The sequence below is a fragment of the Homo sapiens genome, chromosome 3 (genome assembly GCF_000001405.40).
Source record: "Homo sapiens chromosome 3, GRCh38.p14 Primary Assembly".
Taxonomy (NCBI): Eukaryota; Metazoa; Chordata; class Mammalia; order Primates; family Hominidae; genus Homo; species Homo sapiens.
In genome coordinates, this window is record NC_000003.12 from 11183310 (window position 1) to 11211210 (window position 27901).

General features: G+C 46.2%; 1 protein-coding gene and 1 long non-coding RNA gene across 5 annotated transcripts in view; one reads left to right on the forward strand and one right to left on the reverse strand.

Moving 5' to 3' along the window:
- The window catches only part of HRH1 (histamine receptor H1), a 126320-nt gene that overhangs the window by 46072 nt on the left and 52347 nt on the right, over positions 1–27901 (forward strand). The window lies entirely within an intron of this gene.
- LOC102723663 (uncharacterized) overlaps positions 10126–27901 on the reverse strand; it is a 32484-nt gene continuing 14708 nt past the window's right edge. For 2 of the 3 annotated variants that reach the window (XR_001740596.2, XR_001740595.2), the window contains 2 exons: positions 11684–11895; positions 10126–10578 (listed from right to left, as the gene is read on the reverse strand). This is a non-coding gene — a long non-coding RNA (uncharacterized LOC102723663). Of the gene's footprint in view, positions 10579–11683; positions 11896–23932; positions 24090–27901 lie in introns of those variants that run through there. The other variant, XR_001740598.2, reaches the window with a different exon arrangement.

Consider the following 27901-nt stretch of genomic DNA (forward strand, 5'->3'; position numbering starts at 1 on the left):
TGGCAGGAAACCTCAGATTCTAAAGCAGTTTTTGTTAGCCAGAGGTGGTCTTGACCCTAGGGACACTTGGCAATGTCTAGAGGCATTTTTGGCTGTCAGAACTCACAAAGGAGGGTGCTACTGGCAACGAGTAGGTAGGGGTCGGGGATGCTCCTAAACCTCCTACAGTGCACAGGGCAGCCCCCAACACAGAATTTTCCTGCCCCAAAGCGCCTGTAGTACAGAGGTTGAGAAATCCTGCTCTAGGCAAACACAGCTACAGAACTGGTCCTGCTCTCCCCGTGGGCCCTGCCGGGGCGGCGGCATGCATGTACATGAGGGTGAATCCCACAGCTAAGGAAGACCTTCTTTCCTTGATTTCCAGGGCATCTTTTTGTGCCGTTTGCCTTTCCATGTTCTAGGCTGGAAATTTCTTTTTTTTTTTTTAAGAAGGAGTCTCGCTCTGTCGCCCAGGCTGGAGTGCAGTGGTGCGATCTCGGCTCACTGCAAGCTTAGGCTGGAAATTTCAAATAAGCTTGTGATGAAACCCACAGTAGGAAAGCTTGCTTTTTTTTTTTTTTTTTTTTTTTTAAAGCACTGGCCATCTTATTCCCATGGCAGGTCCTTGCTGCTCAGAGAGGCAGGCCGTGTGACTGGTCCTTGGTGCTCAGAGAGGCAGGCGGTGTGATGGTTTTTGCCATTTCTCCATGCCTGGGACCTCCTAAGGTCAGGCATTGTGTCTCATTCACTGCTGCATCTCCAGTGCCCGGCACAGTAAATGAACAGAGCCAGTGCTCAGGCAGAGGGTGCCAAGTGAAAACAGGATTAAAAGTCCCCCAGTCTTGGCCATAGCTGGCCCCCACCTTCCACCTCCAACTCAAATCTTAACATAATGAGAGCAAATCATTACGTAAAACTTACTATATCTGACAGGCACGATTCTAAGTCCTTTACATATATTAACGCAGTTAATCTTCACACAACCTATGAGGCAGATGCTATTATTATCCCCGTTTTACAGATGAAGAAATAGAGACACGGAGAGGTTAAGTAACTTGCCTAAAATCGCACCACTCAGGAGTAGCAGCAGAAGCGGAATCTGAACGCAGGCGGTCCATCTCCAAGCTCTTCACCACTGAATGTCTTGCTTCCTCTCTTAGAATGGCCAGTGGAGCACAGCCTACCCTCTTTTGTGTCTGAGGTCGGCTTCCTCCCAGACAGGCATAAATTCTCAGAGCTTAAATTCTTCCCTGTCATGTCAGGCATTATCAGGAGTGGCAGAAGTGCTTTCCTAACACGCCGAGATAATGATTTCCAAGCACAAGGAAAAGAATCAGGCTAATCTTGGCCGGGCCCGATGACTCGCACCTGTAATCCAATAGTTTGGGAGGCCGAGGCGGGCGGATCACCTGAGGTCAGGAGTTCAAGACCAGCCTGGCCAACTTGGTGAAACCCCGTCTCTACTAAAAATACTAAAACTTAGCTGGGTGTGGTGGTGGGCACCTGTAGTCCCAGCTATTTGGGAGGCTGAGGCAGGAGAAATCACTTGAACCTGGGAGGCAGAGGTTGCAGTGAGCGGAGATCAGGCCACTGCACTCCAGCCTGGGCAACAGAGCCAGACTCCATTTCAAAAAAAAAAAAAAAAAAGAATCAGGCTAATTTTGATAGGCTCAGTGGACATGGGGTTTAGCCATCGGCTTTGTTTTTCCATTGCATTTAAAGTTTTTATTAAAATGAACAGTACTAATTTAAAAAAAAAAAAAACCCTGCCAGTAGCTTCCCATTGTATCATGGGCCCCAAATATACATCCTCAGGTAAAAACCTGGGGACTGTGAAAAAACATTTGAAGTGCCTGGGTCCTAGTGCTATAAATTCAGATTCAGAAAGTCTGGGGTAAGGCATCCCTGGAAATTCTAAAGGATAGCCAGAGAGGGCAGGAGCCTGGAGCATAGCGCTGAGGCTCAGGAACCTGCACTTTCACTCATTGAGGACTAAACTGCTTCTCACTGATGAAAACATCCTTCGAGTTCTGGCTCATAAGTCACCTCCTCTGGGAAGCCTTCCCTGAATTTTCAAAGTAGTAAGTCACTCCCCTGACCTCCCACAGCACTTTGTCTACCCATTAAATGTGGCACTGCAGGGTAATTATTTATTTGGTCCTTTTGAGCAAGAACTGTGTCTCACCTGCCTCTGTATACCCAGCACTCTCAGTGTTGAGGATGAAGTTGGCGCTCCATGAATGCTTATTGAGCAACTAGAGGACTAAACAGACACTCCACTTTGGCCCCTGTCAAGATTGCCTTGTGGTCTGGCCTTTAGACCAAGAAGACCTGAGTTGTAACTTTGCCACTTTCTCGGGTGAGCTGTGTCTGAGTCTTCATTTGCCTATCTGGAAAATGGGGATAATGACAGTCCCTCCCTCCTGGGGGAGCTCCGATGACACAGGCCAATAGTGGTGATGGTGTTTGTAAACCCTGCGGTGTCGTGTTGGTGCACATGTGTGGAGGAGGTGGGGTGGGGCCTGTTATTCCTGTCCTGGAATGTTGGCACTCAGACGTTGTTTACGGTAACTTCTGGGCTCTGTGCCTGACTTCCCAGGGCTCCGGCACTTGCTGGGGTAGATGGCAGTTCCACGTATGAGTATGTGATGCCTCCCAGCAATGGCATCACCAGATTTGTTAGGTGTTCTGTGGAAGCCCCGACCTCCAGCCCCCTCCAACCCCCTTCCAGATTTCCTGCTCTGCCGAGAATTCCCTTGCTCCTCCTGCCCACCTTGCAGAGCCTCCAGTGGGTTCCTGGGCCCCTCCCAAGCAAGATCGAGCCCTGTTTTAAGCCCTTTCAATGCTGGGCTCTGAGTCAGGTTTGGCATCCGGACAACTCCACCTTTTCCTGTTTCTAGGGACCTACCTGTAGGAGTTCTATACCTCTGGGATGTGGGCAGCCTGACCTCTAGATGTATTGAGCAGCTGTCATAAAGCTATGCCGCTTGCTCCCTGCTAAATTGCAGCCAAAGTGATGGGCATTATCTGCTTCAGAACAGGAGAGAGCTGTTCTGCCATCATGCCAGTGCCCTTATTCATCATCACCACAGCTTTTACCATTGCACCTTTGCCCAGTATCAGATGAGTGGATCCTTGCAGCATGGCATAGATATCATTATTATTATAACCATTTTGCAGAAGTGAAAACTGAGGCCCCAAGAGGTGAGCTAACTAACCCAAGAGTAATCTCCCCTTGAGCCACTCACTGTTGCATTTACTCACTGAATAAATGAAGAGGAAGGAAGAGCTGACTTTAATGCCTGGAGCTTCTCCCTGCCTTGGAGGTCGGGATCTGAGACCACTCTGATTCCTCTCACAGGGCTAAGGGACCATCATCACATAGTTATGGGTGTTCATGTAGCACAGGCTGGGGGACCTAATTTCTAGTCTGTTTTGTGCCACAGGTTGTTTTGGGCTAACACTTTTAGGTCTGAGAGTGCCTGGATCTGCTCTAGGTAATCAGGCAGACAGGCAGCACAGAAGACAGTTCAGAAACAGACCCAAATGCAGATAGGAATTTAGTATGTATGAAAGGTGGCATTACAAATCACTGGAGAAAAGATAGATTATTCAATAAATGGGCTTGGAGCAATTGAAGAACCACCTGGAAAATATTAAGTTGGATTGCAGCACACTCCTTTCTCCAGAATTAATTCCAGATGGATCCAAAATTTAAATTAAAAAAGATAAAAGTATGCAAGTACTGGAAGGTATGACGTTCTTAAAATAATCTCAGGGTTATACAATTCCAGACCTTCCCTTTCCCAAGCCTCAGAGGAGGCTGGGGCCAGAGGGGGTCCTCTGGCCTGGAATAACCCAACTTCAGGATCGTAAGTGTGAGCCCTACTTTCCACTACTGACAAAGATATCTTTTTCTCTGCTGAACAGAATTACTAATACTTAAGCAAAGAGTTTCAGTCTCCTGTGACACAAACACAGATATTTGTTAAAAGGGTATAGGAGGCTCCTAAGAAACTGGGATGGGCCATTTGGAAAGTCAGCTGAAAATCTGTCCGTAATTTTTTTTTCTTTTAACTACAAAGGTTATATAATAGAATTACAAAACATTTTGAAGAAGAGAAAAATAATATCTAAAAATATAATAATATATAAAAATAATAAAACACATGACCTTGCACAGACCACTCAACGTTACTGAGCCCATTCTGTAAAATGGGGGCAAAACCTACCCTGCTCACCCAGAGGGTTTCTGGGAAGGTCAGAAGAGATAACTGATGCAAATATACTTAGTTTCTAAGTCCTGCACATGCTGTAGCAAAGTCAGGTATGCATTATTTCATATTTGGCAAACTTATGCATGCAGGAACAGGAATGAGGACATTAAGTCTAATGATACTCCTGTCTTCAGGAAGCATCAATCCTCAATCCCAACCCTCAATCCCAACTCCTACGATGATTTGTATTTTTGTGTTGTTGTAAACATGTAAACGTGGTGTACATTCTGTTTTCTGTCCTGCTCTTCTTTCTTAAGGTGTTTTTCCACGTTGCTGAAGTCTCTGTAGCCTCCAGTTGTAATGGTTGCATAAGGTTACATCAACTGCTTTTGCCTCATTGACTTAACATTTCCCAATTGCTAAACATTTCAATTTCATCTCATTTTTCCTGTTATTAAAATGTGTGATGCAAAGCTTTCCTGTGTATAACATAGAAAATAATTCTTTAAGGGGATGTTGTTCAAGCCAAGTCAGCAAAGAGATACAAATGGACAGAAAATGTTTGGGGGAAAAATAGCCACCTTCATTAATAAGTAAATTAAAATTAGGATACACGTGAACTATCGTTGTTTAACTTTATCAAATTGGCATTCAATTTTTTTTAATTGACAATATCTAGCATTGGTAAGAATGCAATCAAAGCATAAAGCAGCATGGCTTTTAAGGAGAGCAGATTGATTATATGTAAAGACCTTTAAGAATATCCATGCCTTTTGATTCTGTAATTCCACTTGTAGGAAGTTATAAAGAATCAGGCCAGGTGAGGTGGCTGACACTTGTAATCTCAACACCTTGGGAAGCCGAGGCGGGTGGATCTCTTGAAGCCTGGAGTTCGAGACCAGCCTGGCCAACATGGCACAACCCCAGGCATGGTGGCACCTTAGAAGGCTGAAGCACGAGAATTACTTGAACCCAGGAAGTGGAGGCAGCAGTGAGCTGAGATTGCGCCACTGCACTGCAGCCTGGGTGACAGAGCAAAACCCTGTCTCAGAAAAGAAAAGAATGAATCAGATACACACCCAAAGATTTATATATAAGGACGTGCATTACAATTCTATTTATATTAAAAAATGAGAAACACTCTTGAATGTTCAACAATAAGTTAATGGTTAAGTAAATTATGGCAAATCTGTATGATAGAAATTTTAGGTAGCTATTAAAAGTCACGTTCTTGAAAAATATATGATGACACAGAAAAAAGCTCACAATGTCGTGTTTAGTGAAAAGTAGAGGATATAAAACCAAGACAGCCAAAACGGCATCATCCTAATTTTAGAAGAGACGTATGTTAACAGATCAGGTCCACAGAAAAAAGTAGGTGTCTGTTTTGCCCTTCTTCTTTAAGATCTGAAGTGCTTCCTGAAGACAGGAGTATCATTAGACTTAATTTCCTCATTCCTGTTCCTTCATGCATAAGTTTGCCAAATATGAAATAATGCATACCTAACTTTGCTACAGCGTGTGCAGGACTTAGAAACTAAGTATATTTGCATCAGTTATCTCTTCTGACCTTCCCAGAAACCCTCTGAGTGAGCAGGGAAGGTTTTGCCCCCATTTTACAGAATGGGCTCAGTAAGGTTGAGTGGTCTGTGCAAGGTCACGTGTCTCCTGTGTAGATGCAACCCCAGATTTCTGCATCCTCAGACTAATGTATTACCCTTCCGAGTCCAGGAGACACGCTCAGACTTATGTCATAGACCAGCTGAGTGGGTAGGGGAACGGCTCTGGATTCATAATCACCTTAGATTGAATCCAAGTATTCAATCCTTCTCTGACTCAGTTTCTTTGTCTGTAAAATTGGGAAGATAATAGACTTACCTCAAGAATTAAATAACCTAATACATAGAAAGCTCTTAGAATAGTGCAGGGGACATCATTAGTCCTCAGTCAGTAGTGGTCAGTATTATAACGAGATCCTTGGCATCTGTGGATGTAACAAGTTTCGCAATTCTCTAGGGACCCCTCTGGTCCATGACAGGTAATGGTTTGTTGTTTTGCTGAGACAAAAGTTAACTGCTCTCATGGAATGATATTATGACAATTTGAAAACACACACATACACTTCTTTGTGAAAAGTGGCCACTGGCTGGGCGTGGTGGCTCACACCTGTAATCCCAACACTTTGAGAGGCCAAAGGGGGTGGATCACTGGAGTTCGAGACCAGCCTGGCCAACATAGCGAAACCCCATCTCTACTAAAAAAATAAATAAATAAAATAAAAATAAAAATAAATAAATAGCCAGGCATCATGGCACACACCTGTAATCCCAGCTACTCGGGAGGCTGAGGCACAAGAATCGCTTCAACCCAGGAAACGAAAGTTGCAGCAAGCTGAGATCATGCCGCTGCACTCCAGCCTGGGTGACAGAGTGAGACTCTGTTTCAAAAAAAGAAAAATGGTCACTAAAAGAGCGAGTGTGGTAAAAATGCAGGAAATGTGGAGGAGAGGAATGCTATGCCTCTGAAAGACTGTGATCAGGAGAAGCCTAGCCTTTCTGGTGTGTTCTAGGGTGGCTTTGGGACACCCTGATGGATGTTTATACAAAGGTGTCATCAGGATGATGTTTAGCCAAGGACCCAGGAATGCCTAGTCCTGCCCTCGATCAGCTGTCCCAGCCCAGAATGTCCAAAGAGGGAATGTAAGTACCTAAAGAACACTGACTAGTCCGGGTGTGGTGGCTCACACCTGTAATCCCAGAACTTTGAGAGGCCAAGGCGGGAGGATTGTTTGAACCCAGGAGTTTAAGACCAGCCTGAGCAACATAGTGAGACTCTGTCTCTAGTAATATATATATATATATTTTTTAATTAATTAATTTATTTATTTATTTTGTAGAGATGGAGTATCACTCTGTCACCCAGGCTGGAGTGCTGGAGTGCAGTGGCGCGATCTTGGCTCACTGCAACCTCTGCCTCCCGAGTTCAAGCAATTCTCTTGCCTCAGCCTCCTGAGTAGCTGGGACTACAGGCGCATGCTGCCATGGCCAGCTAATTTCTTTTGTATTTTAGTAGAGACGGGGTTTCACCATGTTGCCCAGGCCAGTCTCAAACTCCTGAGCTCAGACAATCTGCCCACCTCAGTCTCCCAAAGTGCTGGGATTACAGGCGTGAGCCAGCGCAACCGGCTAAAAAAAAAAAATTTTAATTAGCTGGGTGTGGCCTATGGTCCCAGCTACTCGGGAGGCTGAGGTGGGAGGATCGCTTGAGCCGTGAGGTTGAGACTGCAGTGAACCCTGCTCACGTTGAGCAGCCAGTCGCTCTGAAATTGTGGCTCCAGAAACTCTCCTGGCCTCTAAGTGAGACAGGAAGATCCTCCTTCCTGGTCCGCATTTGGGCCTCAGTGCTTGCCACACATGCTGCCTCCGAGGCCACACTGACCTGAGCTTCTTGTTCAGGTCTCCCGAGGACAAGGTAGCAGGCCAACCATCACGTGGAAGGAAGAGTTCACAGTGCGCCCCCTTTCATCCCTTTTTCAGCACTGTGCAGCCTCCACCCTTGGCTCAGTGGCCAGCAACCTCCTTGGCCTTGGAATCTGGCATCCTTAGTAATACTTCCTCCCTCCTCAGTTGCTTTGTCTTGCTTAGGGAATCAAAGTTCAGGAATACTTAAGGAATTAGAATGTTGACATGTCGGACTGTGCTGACCAGGACCTAATTATCTGTAACGGGGTATACACTTGCAGTCAACATATCCTGCTACTAAAACCTGCAGTGAACAGAAGTGGGTGGGGAGCCATGAACAACCCTTTGATTGTCCATGTCAAGCATGTTAGTTTCTCAACACACCTGAAAGGGTCTTAGCGAAGGAAATGTCTGGTGGAAAAGGAGAGGTCAAAGACCCACCTCCCCCTCTTCCCATAGCACCAAAGAACCATATTCTAGGAGCTTCAGGTGTTAGTGGAAGGCTGAAGATGGGATTGGTTTGGCAAACCATATCTCTTAACTTGCCTGAGTGTCTATAGAAGCCAAGTAGAGAATCTGTAATTCCGAGCAACTGTCTGACCTTCATATGCACCCCCCACCTGACTGGGCTCTTTCTACGGGAAAGATAGTCAGTGCCAAAGTCCCCAGAACCTGGGGGCCAGCATGGAGACAGCCCCAGACTCAGTTACTACATCATTGCTAATAAACTAGAGGAATTAAGTATGTAAATCCAGCCAACCCTTGTGGTTTAACTCAGGGTTTCCTCACAAGAGCACAGTTGGCGTGTAGGGAGATAATTCTTCACCTAAGAAATGTGGGAGCCCCTGCACATTCCTGGCCCAGCCCATTAAATGCTATAGCAACCCTAGTCCCTAGGACCACAAAAATGACCCCATGTATTTCCAAACATCCCTATGGGGCTGGCATGGCCCCTGGCCTTGTTGAATTGAATGCAGTGCTAGACTCTTCTTATGGGGAAAAGAGGCCCATGGGTTTAAAAGATTGGGGTGGACAAAGATGGACATGGTTTGAGCCCCCTGTCCCCTTGGGTTTCATCCTGACTCCCACTGGCCAGACATTGTCCACTGGGCATGATGAGTCACCTATCCATGGACCTTTATTAGTAGCAGTGGTAGTAGCAGTACTTTTTATTGAACTATAATATACATGAAAGTATACACACGTTGTATGCACAGCTGGGTGAATTTTCACCAACTGAACACACCTGCGTAACCAGCGTCCCAGTGAAGAAAGAGAACATGACAAGCACCTTGAAGCCTCCTCATGCCCCCTTCCAGGGCAGCCACTATCCTGATTTTTAACAACATAGATGGCTTTTGCCCACTTTTATGCTGGTTTTTTTCGCTTTTAGCTCTACCTTATGTTTGTGATAGCCATCCATGTTGTTGTGTATAGCTGTAGTTCATTCATTGTCATTGCTGTGTCATATTCCACAGTGTAAATACACAGAAATGTATGCATCTACTGTTGAGGTAGGTGCAGGGTGCCCCATTTGGGGTGATGATAAATAGGGCTGTTGTGGACATTCTAGATCTTTTGGTGAACATATGCATGCATCTCTATTAGGTCACAGGCACTTGTTTTTGTTTGTTTGTTCAATAAGAGTAATCACTTGCAGTTCCAGCTACTCAGGAGGCTGAGGCAGGAGGATCACTTGAGCCCAGGTGTTTGAGACCAGCCTGGGCAACATAGCAAGACCCTGTCTCTAAAATAAAATTTTACAAAGACCATTCACAACAATTGAGTCAGGTCTCCAAGTATCATCATCTAAGCAGATAAGATGGGCACTCAACAGGCCACCCATCCTAGATGGAACCCAGTCTTCTTATAGTTCTCTGTCCCTTCATCCATCAGAGCTGGGCCTTGCCGTCTTGGGTTCATCTCTCCCAGGGCTATTAGAGGTATGGGCTAATCTCTTATTAACGTCATTCCCTCTTAGAGTCAGTCAGAGAAGCTATGGCTCAGTCATTATAGACTCAACTGCTTTATCATGTTTTAGGAGACCAAGTTTAGTAATAAATACAAGTTAAAGCATGTTTATTTTCTGGTTGGGCTGATCAGTACAAAATTATTTCTAACTCATCATATATTATAAGCCAGAACATCAACAACATCTAAATATAAGCATGGTTGTATAACTCACATTTTACTCTCCCTGAGGGCAAGCTAATCATAGCAAAATCCTTTCAGAAATATCCCATATGCAGGCTGATGCCTGCTCTTTTTCTCCTCTCCTAAGTTAAAATAATTGCAAACAGAACTTTTAAAAAATATCTGACTCAGTTGGCAAAATGAAGCTAGCAGTAAATTAAAAACTATTAATATCAGGCTAGCAGTTATCCTGCCTTATGGTTTTGAGGTACTGTCTTTTTAAGGTGGGTGTCTCAGTCCATTCAGGCTGCTATAACAAAGTATCATAAACTAGGTGGCTTATAAACGACAGAAATTTATTTCTCACAGTTCTGGAGGCTGGGAAGTCCAAGATCAAGGCACCAGCAGATTCAATGACTGGTGAGGGTCAGTTTTTGGTTCATAGACCGAACCTTCTCACTCTGTCTTCACATGGTGGGAAGGGTGTCTTAGTCCATTCAGGCTGCTATAACGAAATGTCATAAACTGGTTGTCTTATAAGCAACAGAAATTTATTTCTCACAGTTCTGGAGGCTGGGAAGTCCAAGCTCAAGGCGACAGCAGATTGAGTAAATGGTGACAGTCAACATTTTGGTTCATAGACTGAGCCTTCTCACTGTGTCTTCGCATGGTGGGAAGGGTGAGGAGTCTCTGTCAGGCCTCTCGTGTAAGAGCACTAATCCCATTCAGGAGAGGTTAGAATTTCAACACATGAATTGATGAGGAACAAATATTCAGACCTTAAGCAGCTGGATAGGGAGAAAAGGAAAAAAGATTTAGGGCAACTTCACAAGGTATCAGCTTACATATTTACTACAGTGATGAGTTGTTTTCTGCTTTGCAGAGGAGTGTTCTTTATCAGTTTTGTGGGGAAATAAAAATGATGTTGCTGGTCTTGAAGTTTGTTGGTTTGGTCATTGGTTTCCAAGCATAAATGCAAATGTATGTGTAGTATAAGCATGTGCGTAGGGATAAAATGGGCTGTGCCCCAGACCTGGGGCCTTTATGAGATGCTTGTATGAAGGACACCTGTTTTTTCTAGAAGAGAGAGAGGATACTTTCTTATTAAGGGTAGTACAGTGTAGTTGAAGAGTCAGAGAACTCAAAGCAAACAGACCTAGGGCACCTTCTGACTGTATGCATTTGAGCAAGTTTTTTCATTCCTGCAAGCCTAGCTTTTTCAACAGTGAAATAGGAATAACAATTCCCACCCTGTCTGTTGTGAGGATTAGAGATAATAAAGGCACTCATTAAACAGTGGTGTCACCTCAGGCTCCCACCCCGTCTCAGACTCTGCGCCAGACACTTACCCACGCTTCATCTCAATGTTACATAAATTTCACCTTTTGCCTCCTTCATATACCAACTGTACTATTATTTACTTAATAACTTTTAAAGTCAGCTCACAGCAGGGCATGTTGGCTCACGCCTGTAATCCCAGCACTTTGGGAGGCTGAGGTGGGTCAGGAGTTCGAGACCACCCTGGCCAACATGGCGAAACCCCGTCTGTACTAAAAATACAAACAATTAGCTGGACATGGTGGCGTGCACCTGTAATCCCAGCTACTTGGGAGGCCAAGGAAGGAGAATTGCTTGAACCCAGAAGGCAGAGGTTGCAGTGAGCTGAGATTGTGTCATTGCACTCCAGCTGGGGCGACAGAGCGCGACTCTGTCTCAAAAAATAAATAAATGAATAAAGTCAGCTCAGTTTTTAATTTAAGCCTCATCCTGAGCATTAAAAGCTGTGAAATTGCCAGTTTGATATTTTTTTTCTAATACGCCTTAAAATTGATGCATAATCCTTAAAACAACAGCTTCTTTGTGAGATACCGAAAACATCATCACTGTGCTTACCAATGTTTCTATGCATACCACACTTTGGGGTGCTCTAGATTCCCCAGAGACATCCTGGAAAGAGGAGCACTACCCCCTTCTTAGAGACACTGAAATGGGTTTCCCCATCAATATCACACATCCAGCCGAAACCTTTGAGAGTGCAGTTTGGCATCCCTCCAGGACATTTTCCTTTTAAGCAGTATCTCTCAGATTCTGAATCCTCTTGTTACCTGTAACCAAGAGGAGCAAAACATCGTCAAAAGTGGTTCCTTGGAAAACAGGCAGCTTCTGCAAAGTTGTTTTCCTTTTGAAAAGATTCAGTTTCCTCTTAGACCCTTGTAAATCAAACTCAAACTGCCAACGTGAGGAGAAACCATAAACAGCTGTGCCTGGGGCTAGGTGGACAGTCCCAGCTGCTGGCCTTGAAAGCCAACTGTGCTTCCAGCTGGCACCACATTGAGGCATATCTGCCATGTGGTTCCTCAATCCCCCACCACTGGAAGTTCCCTCCACTTCAGCGTACAGAGTGGGAATGACCTGGTGTGGCTGTGCTGAAGCTCGAGGGTCTACGTGTATTCAGCAGAACCAAGTGACTCTCATGACAGTATTGGATGAAATGAGCTATCTGGATAATCTCTTCCTGGTGTCCTGCTTCTTGCCCTTTTGAAAGCCTCAATTCAGGTGCGTTATCCAGGACTCTCTGGGTTGCCAGGGACATAAACCACCTCAAGGAGCTCCTCATAGGGATACAAAGCCGTCCCAAAGAAATCAAGGCAGAGCTGCAGATGAGCTTCAGGAAGGGCTGGAACCAGGGGCTGAAATGTGCAGACCACCCCCCATCCCATGCTTGTCCCCACCCCAAACACGCTGTCTCTCTTCCAGTTACTTCCTGTGTGTCTGATTCATTCTGTTCTTAGCAGACTGTCTGTCACTGTTTCCAGCATCCTGTGGCAGAAAGCAGCCAGCAACAGCTTTCGAGTTTTATGCCCCCCAGGAAGAGACTAAAATGCTTTCTGTCTCAAGCCTAGCTCCACCCTCCCAGGGAAGGGACTCCGCACTCTGGCCCCGCCAAGTCCATTCTCTTTCCTGCAGCCAGAGTGATCTCTTCAAAATGTAAATCTGGCTGTATTCCCTCCTCCCTCTTAAAGCTCCTCGGTGCCCCTGGTGTTCTTAGGCTGGAGGCAGAACTCTCCACACGATCTTGCATGATCCAGCCTCTGCCTAAGTCTCCAGCCTCATCCCTCCCTGGCCCTGCGCAGCAGCCTCACTGCAGTTGCCCGGCTCCTCAGCCGGGGCTTTGCTTGTGCCATTCCTTCATCCTGGAGCACCCTTTCCTCCCTCTTCAGCCTCCCTAAGCAGGTCACATCCCCATCTTACAGACATTCCTCACATTTGCCACAAACACACTGTTACATTTGTCCGTGTGATTCCTTGATTTTTTTTTTCTTTTGAGACAGCTTTGCTCTTGTAGCCCAGGCTGGAGTGCAGTGGCGTGATCTTGGCTCACTGCAACCTCTGCCTCCCAGGTTCAAGCAATTCTCCTTGATTTTTACTCATCTACTCCTCTTCAACTGCTCACTCCATTATGATAGGGACATGCCTGTTTACTCACCTAGCACATGGGAGTTGCCCTATACTGATGGTGAAACTTAATGCTTGCGCCCTTTGTTGAGTCATCTCTCAGAGCCCTTCAGCCCATATAAAATATTTGAGAAGCTGCCCTTTTGGAAACTGTGTATGATGCTGTCACAGGGTATTATATCCCCAGTCATATGTAGCTGTTCAGCTAAAGTGTGATCCATGGACTAGCAGCATCAGGATCACCTGGCAGCTTGTTAAAAATGCAGAATCTCGTCCGGGCACGGTAGCTCACGCCTGTAATCCCAGCACTTTGGGAGGCCGAGGTGGTCAGATCACGAGGTCGGGAGATCGAGACCATCCTGGCTAACATGGTGAAACCCCGTCTCTACTAAAAATACAAAAAAAAAAAAAAAAAAAAAATTAGCTGGGCATGGTGGTGGGCGCCTGTAGTCCCAGCTACTCAGGAGGCTGAGGCAGGAGAGTGGCGTGAACTCAGGAGGCGGAGCTTGTAGTGAGCTGAGATCGCGCCACTGCACTCTAGCCTGGGCTACAGAGCGAGACTCCATCTCAAAAAAAAAAAAAAAAGCAGAATCTCAGGCTGGCCCAGCCATATTCAACTGGAATCTGAAATATAACAAGATCCCCCGGTGATTCATGAGCATGTTAAATCTGAGCAGCATTGGGTTAGGAGACCCTTTTTTATGTTCCTATAACTTCCCTTGATTTCTTTCGATTTATAATTGCTTCTTTGTGTTTGACTTCTCTCCTGGGCTGTGAGCTTCCTGAGGGCTGGCACCCTGGATGTTTTGCCCAACTTTATAACTTCAGTGCCTGGTACAGGGCCTGGCATCTATAGGCAAAGATATTTCTTCCCCTAAAATTATCCCCCAGAAAAGGGGCCATACGGAGCCTTTTATATTGTAGGATGCTCTATAAATTACTTTGTTTTGAACAAAAGGTACTGTCTGGGAAAGGCACATTAATCTGAAAATGACCTCAGTGCCAATTTGGATGTTTATAGTGGCCACTCAATGAATTCAATAAAAAGTAGATAAAGTAATGCAATCCAATTTAGTAATCATTTCTGGAAAGTATGACTTCACAATTGTAATCACTGGTCATCGCTGTAAACATGCCTTTTAAAGACCATCTTTTAAAAGTATTACAGTAAATGATTACATTCTGGGGTCAGGACATACATCCATAAAACTAATTGAAGGAAAAAAACAGCTCATTGCAGGCTCCTCTGCTGTCTACACTGTTTGTAACCCTCCAGCATTAACTCTTGGGAACTGAGGAAAGACCACATTTGGCAGGTCTGTGATTGGGAATTCCTGCTCTGCCTTTTATTAGCTGGTAATTGGAGGTGTGTCTCTCAACTCCAATCTCATTCCCTGCCTGGGAAATGCGGAGGCTGCGCTCGACTCTGCTTGTTGTTCGGCATCATTTATTCTACTGTTTAGCTGAAGCCTCAGTTGCCTGGTTCTCCCTGGGCCCTCATTACTCGCCAGTACCCTCAGTCATCTACCTCCTTTCACTAGCTTTAGCATGGGGGTAGTGGAAGCTTCAGGCTCCGCATCTGCAAGGCTGTGAGGTTCTAACAGCTGCAGTTTGCTGTTTGCATCCTCATGTGTCCTGTCCTGGGACATCCCCTACCTTGCCCGCCGAGGAGTTCAGGCCCACGGTGCCTGCTCATTCCCCTGAGTGTCTGCCCTTCCCCACAAAGTCACATCCAAACCAGCTTCCATCCCCCATCCCCCCACATTCCAATTCCCGACGCTCTTAACATTCTCTCCCTCTGATCTGTATCATTTCCATTTTTCCTGCTGCCAGGATTTTATTTAACGAAGGGACAAGATGACAGTAGCAAATGAATGACTGAGAGACCCAGCTCTTATTATTATAATAATCGCTGCTGTTCATTGAATGTCTGTTTTTGCCTGGTTTCTGGATTAGAGGTGCAGGTAAATGGTAGTGCCATTCTCTGAGATGGAAAAAGGAGAGTGAGGACTTCCTGTCAAAATGCCTGACAGAGACTGGGCACGGTAGTTCACTCCCATAATCCCAGTGCTTTGGGAGACCAAGGCAGGAGGATCGCTTGAGCCCAGGAGTTCGAGGTTACAGTGAGCTATGATTGCATCACTGCACTCCAGCCTGAGTGACAGAGTGAGACCCTATCTGAAAAAAAAAAAAAAAATGGGCGGACTGTTTGAGCTGATAATCTTCATAATAACCATAAGAAGATAATTACAATAGTTAAGAATGTACACTGTGGTGAAAACTTCATAGATGTGAACTTTTTTGAACCCCACACCACCCTGTGTATTGTAAACTCTCTCTCTCTTTATACACACACACACACACACACACACATTTTTTTTTTTTTGAGACAGAGTCTCACTCCATCAGTCAGGCTGGAGTGCAGTGACACTATCTCAGTTCATTGCAGCCTCTGCCCCCCAGGTTCAAGCAACTCTCATACCTCATCCTCCCAAGTTGCTAGAATTACAGGTGCATTCCACCACATGTGGCTAATTTTTATATTTTTAGCAGAGGGTTTCACCGTGTTGGCCAGGCTGGTCTTGAACTCCTGGAGGCTGGTCTTGAACTCCTGGACTCAGCCTCCCAAAGTGCTGGGATTACAAGCTTGTAATCTCTATATTATAGGTGAAATAGTTCAGGGATAGAGAGGTTAAGCAGCTTGCCTGTGGTTGTATTTTCCATTAGTGGTGACCCCAGGATTTGAGCAACTCTCCTTAGAGTCTAGTGCTTACTTATGAAGCACACTGCCAGTCCCGGGAGCTGCCTTATTTGCCCTCACCTCAGGGCCTTTTCGCATGCTGTTCCCTCTGCCTGCAGTGTCCCACTATCTCCTTGCCTGGCTAATGCCCATTCTCCCCTCAGGCCCTGATTTTGACAATGCCTCCTCCAGGAAGCCTTTCCTGCACACATCCTTCCTGTCCTGGGCAGTGAGCTGCCTCCCCAGTGCTCTCACAGTCCCCACTTCCCTGCTGCAACACCTGTCCTGCATGTTGTAATTGCCTGCCTGCCTATCTGTTCCCCTCCTAGGCAGAGGACTGTGCCTCTCTGGCCCCTCCTAGTCCTCCCAGCACCTGGCCCAGAGCCCAGCACACATTAGGGACCCAGGCATATTTGTCGCCTGCTGTTGATGGATCTAAGAGCATGCTTGGCTGAAGAGATGTACAGTTGACCACGTTGCTGGCTCCATTTCAGGTGCTCCCCAGATGAGGAACCTGAGAAATGGTCATTTGGGTTGGTTCATATGATAGTCACAGTTGGCAGCCATTCCCCTGCCTCCTGGTTAATAGAAGCTTCATCTTGTTCAGGTAACTACCCTTCAGAGAAGGTGACCCCATTCTCAGCTCAGCCCATCATGGGAAACCTAATCCTGTTGCTGGTGATTTGTTCAGTAGTGGACATGACACATGTGGGAGGTTGGTGAGGCTGGGGTCCAGGTGCCTCTAGAAAAATTCTCCTTGATCTTAAGAAAGAGATGCAGAGAGAAAGATCCTTGGATATTGTTGTGTCTGGGTGTGACCTCCGGGGCTGTGGCAGCCATCTTGCAACCAGGAGGCAATCTGGTTTGAGGACACGACTGACAGATGCAGAGAATGGCAGAACCAAAGATGGAAAGGATAGGAGTCCCTGATGATGTCTTTAAGGTGTGAAACTAACCAGCCCTGGAGCTGCCCTAACTTGGGACTTCTCATTAGAGGGAGTATACATTTCCTTATTACATAAGCCAAGTGAGTTGGGGTTTTCTGTTACTCACAGCCTAGATCATCCTAATGACTACTCTATGCCATAGAGAGACCATATGGTCTGTGACTGTTTGGAGAATACAGCAGGGACATGGGCTCAGCTCTGCCGTTGAAGAGCCTGGGACATCCTTTGTGCACAGCTTGGATGCCACTTCTCCACAAAGCTTCCTAGAGGCCAGGCCAGGAAATCATTCCTCCCTCCTCTGTCTAGCTTCTCCATGATCCAGGCATTCATCTCTTCCTGCAGCTTGTGAGCTCTCCAAGAGCAGGAACTATGTGCTGTTCATTTCTGCATCCCCACACTTATACCTCGCACAGAGTAGAAACTTGAAAACTGATTAGGGAATACATGGAAGGGTGAGGAAATTAATATTAATATATGACCATTACCTAACCCTTACGCAGAAAGTCATTTCCCCTGATCATTCCATTTGGCTTACAAATGAGTAAGGCATTTCCCTGCTCTGGGGCTCAGCTCCTTCATCTGGGAAATGGGAAGGCTGGACTAGATCACCAGCTCAAAAAAACTCCATGACTTAATATCATTTTATAGTAATGGCCTACTATGTGCAGAGCTGTGAAATAGAGGAAAAGATTAGACATATCCCCTTCCATTAAGATGCTGAGGGTCTAGAGTAGAATTCTTTGTTTTTTAAGGGGGAATAGATCCCTTTGAGGGCCTCTCCTCAGAAAGATGCCCCTGCCCTCAAAATGCTGTGTGCAGTTTTCGGGGATCTATCAGTGGATTCGCTAGAGAAAGGTATCCAGAGGCCCGCTGCTGCTTACTGGCCCTGTCCAAACTGGAGCTCAAACAGAGGAAACATGCCATCTTTCTCAGAGGATCCCCTCAGTCTAGAAGGGGAAGCAGAGTGCACATAAACCAATTGCCCTACGGCCAGAGAGGGGCTGACAGAGGCAAGCCTCTGATGTGCAGGAGAAGGATTTGACTTGCCCTGCTTGTATGGAAGTTTGCCAGGTGCTCAGATGGAGGAAGCCCTTTCATAGGCAAAGGGGACAGCATGTGCACAAGCTCCAAAGTCTGAAAGGGCACGGGGTATTATGGGATGGTGAGTAATGGTGCAACCAGAGCAAAGCAGAGAGACTAGACTTGGGGGACGGTAGAGGGCAGTGGGAGGGGCAGAGAAAGACATGAGGGAGAGGAGCTAAGAGGAAGTCACTGTGTCCTGGATGCTTTGGGGTGTGTGCCTAACAGTGGGGATCAGAGTGAGGGAAACCTCTGCAGAGGTTCATAAGGACCTGAGGTTAAACATGGGGTTCCAAGAAACAGGCTGAAAAAACAGCATATCCTTAGACTAGTCGGAGAAGGGCTGTCTGAAAATTCCAGGTGTCACCAGGGCTGTTGCCACACCCTCAAGGGGGACATGCCCAGGAAGAAAGCTAGCCTGTCTGGGCCTTGCCAAGTGCCTGCTGAGTTGCTCACAGGAAGCATGTCCAGCTGGGAAAAATAAAAGCGGGGACCTTGCCCCTCTCTGTGAAGTCCAGGCTATTGTTAACTTTTCCGAGAAGTTAAAGGAAATCATTTGTCTGCCGCCCAGGCCTGTGGCAGTGTTGGGCAGTCTCTTGTTTTGCCAAATTGCCTGGGCTGGCTGTCTCCACATACTCCCCCCTCACCGGGGCAGGCACCAGGACTGAAGAGCTGGAGGTCTTGGGGTAATTCAGAGGTGGGGAAAATGGATTCTTCCTTAATACATACGGTTGAGTTTTGCGGTAGATAAAATTATTTCTAATTTCTAATAAAAGGAAAGATTAAAAGGAAACTTTGAGGCTGGCCGCTGTAGCTCACGCCTGTAATCCCAACACTTTGGGAGGCCAAGGGGGGCAGATCATGTGAGGTCAGGAGTTCATGACCAGCCTGGCCAACATGGCGAAACCCTGTCTCTACTAAAAATACAAAAATTGGCCCGGTGTGGTGGTGAGCGCCTTGTAATCCCAGCTACTCGGGAGGCTGAGGCAGGAGAATCACTTGAACCCAAGAGGCAGAGGTTGCAGTGAGCCAAGATCACACCACTGCACTCCAGCCTGGGTGACAGAGCAAGACTCCATCTCAATAAATAAATAAATAAATAAATAAATAAATAATTAATTAAAAATAAAGGGAACCTTTGTTTGGGAGCCACTTTAACTAGATGATTTCTAAGACTTCTTCCAGCTTTTAGCATCCTGACCCTATGTGGTATTGACCTCCTGGCCCCCACCCTCCTCCATCCCCTAGCCAAGATGTTTTGTTTTGTTTTAACGAAGACTTTATTTTTCTTCAAGCAGTCTTAGGGTCACAGCAAAATTCTGCTGAAGATATAGAGATTTACATGTACCCTCTGTCCTCACATATGCACAGTCCCCTGCACTGTCAACATCCCCACAGAGTGGTGCATTTGTTACCACGGATGAGCCTACATGACACATCATTGTCACCCAGAGCCACAGTTTCCATGAGGGCTCCCTCTTGATGTTGCACTTTCTGTGGGTTTGGACAAATGGATAATATGTATCCATCATTCTAATACCGTGCATTTTTTACTCTCCTAAAAATCATCTGTGATCTGCCTATTCATCCCTTCCCCTGCCCAAATCCTGCTAACCATTGATCTTTTTACTGTTTCCAAAGTTTTGCCTTTTCCAGGACGTCATACAGTTGGAACCATATAGTACGTAGCGTTTTCAGATGGGCTTCTTTCACTTAATAGTATGCATGTCAGTTTCCTCCATCTCTCCCCATGGCTTGATAGCTTATTTATTTTTAACATTGAATAGTATCTCATTATCTGGATGAACCATAGTTTACCCATTCACTTACCAAAGGACATCTTACTTGCCTCCAAGCTTTGGCAATTATAAATAAAAATAAAGCTGCTTTAAACACTCGTGCAGATTTTTGTGTAGACACAAGTTTTCAAGTCTTGGGTAAACACCAAGGAGTATAATTGCTGCATGGTATGGTAAGAGTATATTTAGTTTTGTGAGAAACGGCCAAACTGTCTTCCAAAATGGCTGTACCATTTTGCCTTCTGGCTTCTCAATTAATTATTTCTTTCAAGGAGCATGCCTTTGGTATTGTATCTAAAAAGTCATTGCCAACCCAAGGTCATCCAGGTTTTCTCCTGTGTTATCTTCTAGGAGTTTTATAATTTTGGTTTTATGCTTAGGCTTATGGTCCATTTTGAGTTACTTTGTCTGAAGGGTGTAAGGTCTGTATCTAGATGTACTTTTTTGCATGTGGATGTCCAGTTGTTCCAGCACCATTTGCTGAAAAGAATTTTTCTCCATTGTATTGACTTTGCCCTTTTGTCAAAAACAACTTGACTGTATTTATGTCGATTTATCTCTGGATTCTGGATTCTGTTCCATTACTCTGTTTATTGTTTCACCAATACCATATTAATTACTGTAGCTTTATAGTAAGTCTTAAAGTTGGGTAGTGTCAGTCTGCCAACTTTGCTCTTCTCCCTCAATATTGTGTTGGTTATTCTGGGTCTTTTGCTCTCCATATAAACTTCATAATCAGTTTGCTTATATCCACAAAATAACTTGCTGGAATTTTGATTGGGGTTGCATTAAATCTATAAATCAAGTTGGTAAAAACTGACATCTAGACAATATTGGGGGTTCCTATCCATGAACATGCTGTCCTTTAAGCTACCTATATGCCTGCTTCTAACTTTTCCTTAATTGAAAGGAATGGGAGAATAGGTATCTCATTCGTCAAACACCTACTGTGTGCCAAAAATCATTTAATGATTTCACAGCACCATAAGGATGAGATTATGGCTCCCACTTGACATTCGCTGAGGCTCAGTGGGATGTTCATATCCATCCATTAAACAGACATGAATGGGACCTACTATGTGATAAGCCCTGAACCAGGAGCTGGAGATGCAACAGAGAACACAATAGAAGTGTTCTCTGCACTCATGGAGCTTACTGTCTGTGGGAGAGAGAGGGACACATATTAAATAATCCCATAGATAAATGATGTTAGGAGAGTTTATTCTGGGGCTAGGGAAGGCTTCCTGGAGACAGTGCTGTTTGAGCTGAGATTGGAAGGATGAGTAGGTACTAACCAGGGGTCAGGTGTTCCAAGCAGAGGGAATAGCACTTGAAAAGCTCACAAGACAGGAAGGAGCTTAGAGCCTTCCCAGGACTCAGAAGTGTGTATGGCCAGAGCATGGAAGGGAGGATGAAATAAGCTGACGCTCACTGAATCACCGAAGGGGAAGGCCGGGATCAGCTCTGCACAACCTTGTAGGCCTCAAAAAGGGAGGGCATGGAGAAAGAGAACAAACTACGTGTTAGGTGCTTTACCAGGTGCTAACACACACGCGATCACCTTTGATCCCTGCAGCTACCCCATAGTAAATGTTATCACCATCTCCAATTTACAAATGAGAAAACAGAGGCTCAGAAAGGGTCAGTCCTCCACTGGTCAGAGGCAGAGGCAGGCTTCCCAAAGCTTGATTCCAAATCCCATGGTCTCCTCAGTTCAGGAGCCTGGATGTACCAGGTGCAGTCCCCGCTGGGTAGCGCCTGGCCCCTCCTTTCCCAGATGCGAGGTTTCCTGCAGGGAGAGCCCAACCAGGCTCCCTCCAGCCCCACGTTTTTGGCTTCTGGCCTGTCTCTGTGGCATCCTTGCTTGAAATCAGAGAGAGAAACGTGGGGTCTGGTAATTGTATTCCATTAAGCCTAATTAAGATGCAAATTTGCACAGTTAATGAAGAAGGCAATTTGGAAGCAATTTCGCCAGTGACACAGGACTCTCATCAGCGCGGCTGTTCTTGGTAGGTAGGTCTGAGGAGATGGGAATGTATGCACTGCCACCCACCAGGCTGCATCTGGCCAGTCTCCAGGGAGAAATTCTTCCTTCTGGAGAAGGACAACCCACCCTAAATAGAACGCATTGTACGGAAACTGCTTGCATCATGTGATCCCCTGTGTGTAGATCATCCAGCTCTGGACCCCTGGAGTCCCACCTGTAGGCTCTGCCCTGCCCTGGCCTCTTGATAGGGGCAGGAGGGCCTGAAGCAGTTCTCTGGAAACAGACTGCCTGGGTTCAAATCCCAGCTCCACCACTCACTAGCTGTATGTCCTTGGGCAAGTTTTTTAACTTCTCTGGGCCTCAGTTTACTCCTCTCTGAACTGGGATAACAACATCAACTGAGAAAGGCTGCCATGAGGCTGAAATTGAATTATGCATGGGAAGTACTCAGCAAGCGCATGGCACATGAATGATGTACATTTTCATGAGCTCTCCCAGCACCCCATGTTTCGCATGGGCAAGAGCTCTGTTCCCCAGCCCCCAGGTTCACAGGTTTTCTTTTTTTTTTTTTTTGAGACAGTCTCGTTCTGTTGCCCAGGCTGGAGTGCAGCGGCACTATCTCGGCTCACTGTAACCTCCGCCTCCCAGATTCAAGTGATTCTTCTGCCTCAGCCTCTTGAGTAGCTGGGACTACAGGCATGCGCCACCACACCCAGTTAATTTTTGTATTTTTAGTAGAGATGGGGTTTCACCATATTGGCCAAGCTGGTCTTGAACTCCTGACCTCGTGATCCGCCCGCCGCGGCCTCCCAAAGTGCTGAGATTACAGGCGTGAGCCACCGCGCCTGGCCCACAGGTTTTCTTTTGCTGCTATCAGATGGCTGCCATTTGGGGCTGGACCTTCCCCAGGCCCTGGATGTCTGAGGTCTGTCTGGCTTGAAGCTGGGGCACACCCGGCAGCTGGGCTCTTGCATGGATTGCCACCTGGTGGTTGGCTGTTTTCACATCTTTGTTTTTTTGTTTTGAGACAGGGTCTTGCTCTGTCACCCAGGCTGGAGTGCAATGGTGCAATCTCGGCCCACTGCAACTTCTGCCTCCCAGGTTCAAGTGATTCTCCTGCCTCAGCCTCCCGAGGAGTAGCCGGGACTACAGGCACACGCCAACACGCCTGGCTAATTTTTATATTTTTAGTAGAGACAGAGTTTCGCCATCTTGGCCAGGCTGGTCTGGAACTCCTGACCTCAGGTGATCTGCCTGCTTCGGCCTTCCGAAGTGCTGGGATTACAGGCGTGAGCCACCACGCCAAGCGTGTTTTCACATCTTTGTATACCAAAGTTGGCCTGCTGGCCTGGACTTCCTCCCAGCACTTGACTCCACTTCACTGGCCCTCCACTTCAGTGGCCAGTGTTGTTTCTAAGTGAGTTACTTAACTGACGTCATTGTTATTATAGCTAAGATTTGTGGACTGTTCACTGTGCCAGGTGCTTTACCTATAATTATGTAATTTCATCCTTACAGCAATTTATAGATGCAGGGACCAAGGCGCAGAAAGGAAGAGTGACTTGCCAGGGTCATACAGCTGGCAAGGGGTGCCCCCGGAAGTCAAACCCTCTGTGCCTGACTTCCAAACTCATTGTTAAGCCTTCTATTCAACCTCTTCTGTAGTTCCCAGGCACCTGTGCCTGGCACGTGGAGCAAAGGAGATGCAGAGACCACCGTCTGCACCCTCGAAGGGCACAAGGACCTGTGGAAAGGGACAGACAAGGGAAAGTCAATGACGGAATAGGGTGGGAGAGCTGAGGAGGGGGAAGCTGGAGGAGGAGTGTGGGGAGGTCTGAGGAGGGCTTTTGTCTTATCGGGGTGGAGTCAAGGAAGGAGGGATTACAGAGAAGGGCACACTCGGTCTGAGAGTTGAAGGACGGATGGAAGTCTCTGGAGGTTTGCAGTGGAATGGGCTTCAGGGAGGGCACAGCAGGTGCAGTGGCATGGAGGTGTGAGATACTGGGGTATATTGAAGTTTGGGGTCTGAGGGTTGATGGTGGGCAGGGGGCAGCAGTGGGAGGGGAAGGCGGGAAAGGTAGACAGAAGCCAGGTCATGCTCAGCCCTGAAGGCCAGGCTCAGGCAGAACTTACTAGAGGTTCAGAGTGATGGGTCCTAGAAACAGGCTGACCTGGGCTGGGCACGGTGTCCCACGCCTGTAATCCTAGCACTTTGGGAGGCCAAGGCGGGTGGATCACGAGGTCAGGAGATCCAGACGATCCTGGCTAACACGGTGAAACCCCGTCTCTACTTAAAAAAAAAATACAAAAAATTAGCCGGGTGTGGTGGCGGCGCCTGTAGTCCTAGCTGCTCAGGAGGCTGAGGCAGGAGAATGGCGTGAACCTGGGAGGCGGAGCTTGCAGTGAGCCGAGATCATGCCACTGCACTCCAGCCTGGGCGACAGAGCGAGACTCTGTCTCAAAAAAACAAAAGAAAGAGGCCGACCTGAACTGGAGCGTGAGGTCCTTCGCTTACTTGCTGTGTGATCTTGGACAAGACCCTTGACCTCTGTGAGCCTTAGTTTCTTTTTCAATAAAATGGGGTCATTCAAAAAGCTTCCCTCCTAGGGTGATTCTGAGAAGGTGTGCAAGAAATTTCAGCTCAGTCTTTGTACATAGTGACCCCTCCATCAACAGAACTACTCCCCCTACTTGGAGGCCCTAGGGAGCCACTGCAGGATCAAGGGAGAAGAGCGGGCATCCTTGTGTACCCAGCGGGCCTGTCTGGCCCATGCCCCAACATCTGTCAGGAAGGGCGGGCGTCATTGACCACCAAAACTGGGTCAATGGGTAAATAAAAGGAAGAGGTTTTCCCACTAAGATGTTTATCACTTAGAAGCAAGAGCAGACAGTCTTTCCACGCAAGAGCAGGATGAAGAATTTAAAACTGTGTTTGCCAAACTTTCACACTCCCCTTTGCCATTTTCTCACATCTCTTTCCTGCCTGTTCTATTATTTCCTCAACACTTTTCTTTAAAGCAATTTTAGATTGACTCCAGTTTTTTCTTTTTTTTTTTTTTTTTGAGACAGGCTCTCACTCTGTCACCCAGGCTGGAGTGCAGTGGTGCAATCTTGGCTCACTGTGACCTCTGCCTCCCAGGTTCAAGTGATTCTCATGACTCAGCCTCCCAAGTAGCTGAAATTCCAGACATGTACCACTGCGCCCAGCTAATTTTTGTATTTTTTTGTAGAGACAGTTTCGCCATGTTGGCCAGGCTGGTCTCCAACTTCTGAGCTCAAGCGATCTACCCGCCTTGGCCTCCCAAAGTGCTGGAATTACAGGCATGAGCCACCACTCCTGGCCACTCTAGTTTTTTGTTTTTTGAGGGTTTTTTTGCTTAGCTTCCTAACACAATACTATCTGTTAAATCAAAAGTTTGAAAAAATATCACTTGAAATCCTTCTACCAAGATAAAGCCACTGTGAACAATCCAGGGAATATTTTTGTAGACTTTTCTGCAAGCATACACACCCATACATACGATGTTACAGAAATATGATTATGTACCGTTTTGTCATCTTCTTAATTTGACAAACTATTATGGACACTTTCCCATGTCAGCAGAGAAAGCCACATGATTATTAATCGCTGTATACCATCCCGGTGTTCTTGTGTGCTAACATGGGACCAGTCCCGTAATGACTGCTGTTTATATTGTGTCCCACTTTCCAGTAATAAAAATAACACTATGGTGAACATCTTTTTGTACCCTGTGGGATGAAAGATTCTCAGAAGTAGAACTGCAGAGCCAAAGAATATGTACATTTTAAAGATTTTGAGTAAAAGCTACAAAACTGCCCACAGAGAGTAATAATTTGCATCACCCCAGCCATGAGATGCCAGTTTCCTTCACCCTCAACTGCCTTGTATTGCCCACGTAGATGCTAAAATCTAAACAGCCCAATCAAGAAATACTTATTAACAGAGAGATTTGAACATAATTGATTTGTGATGGTAATTTTTTTAAGAGTCTTGCTCTGCTGTCCAGGCTGGAGTGCAGTAGTATGATTATAGCTCACTGCAGTCTCAAATAACTGGGCTCAAGCAATCCTCCCACCTTAGCCTCCCAAGTAGTGGGGACTACAGGCTTATGCCACGATGCCTGACTAGTTTTTATATTTTTTGTAGAGGTAGGTTCTTGCTCTATTGCCCAGGCTGATCTTGAACTCCTGGCCTCAAGTGATCCTCCCGCCTCAGCCTCCCCAGTACTGGGAATCCTAAATACTGGGATTATGGGCATGAGCCACCGCACCTAGATTGTGATGCTAATTTTTAATTGCCTAGAGATTCTTGACTCTTTTCTTTGTACCTTTAGTTTGATAATAAAACTACTTTGGATCTGTGTAATGGAATTAAATGTATCGGTGGTTCACAGTGTTTGGCTAGTAGACCTGACTTCCAGAATCACTACTGTTTTAGTTCAGGCTGCTATATATAACAAAATGTCATGGACTAGGCAGCCTTAACAGCAAACATTGATTTCTCACAGGTCTGGTGGCTGGAAGTCTGAGATCAGGGTGCCACCATGGCCAGGCTCTGGTGTAGGGCCTCTTCTCGCTTGCAGGTGGCTGCCTTCTTGCTGTGTCCTCACATAGCAGAGGACTGATGACTTATGGCTCCATTATTTTGGTGAATTAGTACTCTATTTTACAGAGGAGGGAGCTGAGGCTCAGCTAGTACAGGATGAGGCTCGGATGTGGAGGTGAATTCTAATTGCTTGCTCATCCTTATTCTGCTGTGCTGCCGAGATAGACCCTGAACTTCTGGCATTAGGGACCTTGTCTTGCTTGTCTCTGGATCCTATCCCAGTGTCAACACAAGTTAGATCGCATCAAATGCAGTTGTCGTGAGACACAGTGAAGACCTTGGCATTAAATGACTTAAGTTTGAATTCCGCCTCTTCCCTTACTGGCTGGGTGACTTTGTCATTGGTTTTTATATCTCTTATGTGGAGTTAATAGGGCCACATGCAGTGGCTCATGCCTGTAATCCCAGCACTTTGGCAGGCTGAGGCAGGCAGATCACTTGAGCCCAGGAGTTCAGAGCAACCTGGGCAACATGGTGAAACCCTGTCTCTACCAAAAAAGATACAAAAATTAGCTGGGCATGGTGGTGAGTACCTGTGGTCTCAGCTACTCGGGATGCTGAGATGGGAGAGTTGCTTGAGCCCGGGAGGTCGAGGCTGCCGTGAACTATTGAACGTGCCAGTGTATCCAGCCTGGGTGACAAAACGAGACCCTGTCTCAAAAAAATAAATAAATAAATGGGGTTAATAATCCCGACCTTGCAAAACTACTCTGAGGATAAAATGAGATGGTGTGTACACCCAGTACATAGTAAGCACTAAATAAAACAGCTATTGGCTGGGTGCGGAGGCTCACACCCGTAATCCCAGCACTCTGGGAGCCCAAGGCAGGCGGATCATTTGAGCCCAGGTGTTTGAGGCCAGCCTGGGCAATGCGGTGAAACCCCATCTCTACCAAAAAATACAAAAATTAGTCAGGTGTGGTGGTGCGCATTCACAGTCCCAGCTACCGGGGAGGCCAAGGTGGGAGGATTGCTTGAGCTCGGGAGGCAGAGGTTGCAGTGAACCAAGATTGTGCCACTGCACTCCAGCCTATGCAACAGAGCAAGATCCTGTCTCAAAAGAAAAAAAAAAAAAAAGCAGCTGTTGTTATTTTTTGTGTATCTGCTTAGTCCGCAAAGACCACTGGATCCAATAAGTAGAGCATCATGCAGTTAGACATGACTCCAGGGCCCTCAGAACATTGTAACATTCATTCATTTATCATTGATTGATTCATTCAGCAACTATCAGTTGAGTGCCTGTTATGTGCAAGGCATCAAAATACAGTGTTGAACATGACAACGTCATAGCTCTTAAAGAACTTACCTTCTAGATGGATTAAGGCAGATGATAAAGTAGCAAGCAAATAAATCAATTTGTAATTCAAGTAGTGGTGGATGCTCTGAAGGAAAATAAAGTAGGCTAAGAGGTTAGAAATAACAAGAGAAGGGCACTGGGGAAGAGAGTCATTTAGACCAGTGGGTAAGGAAGATGG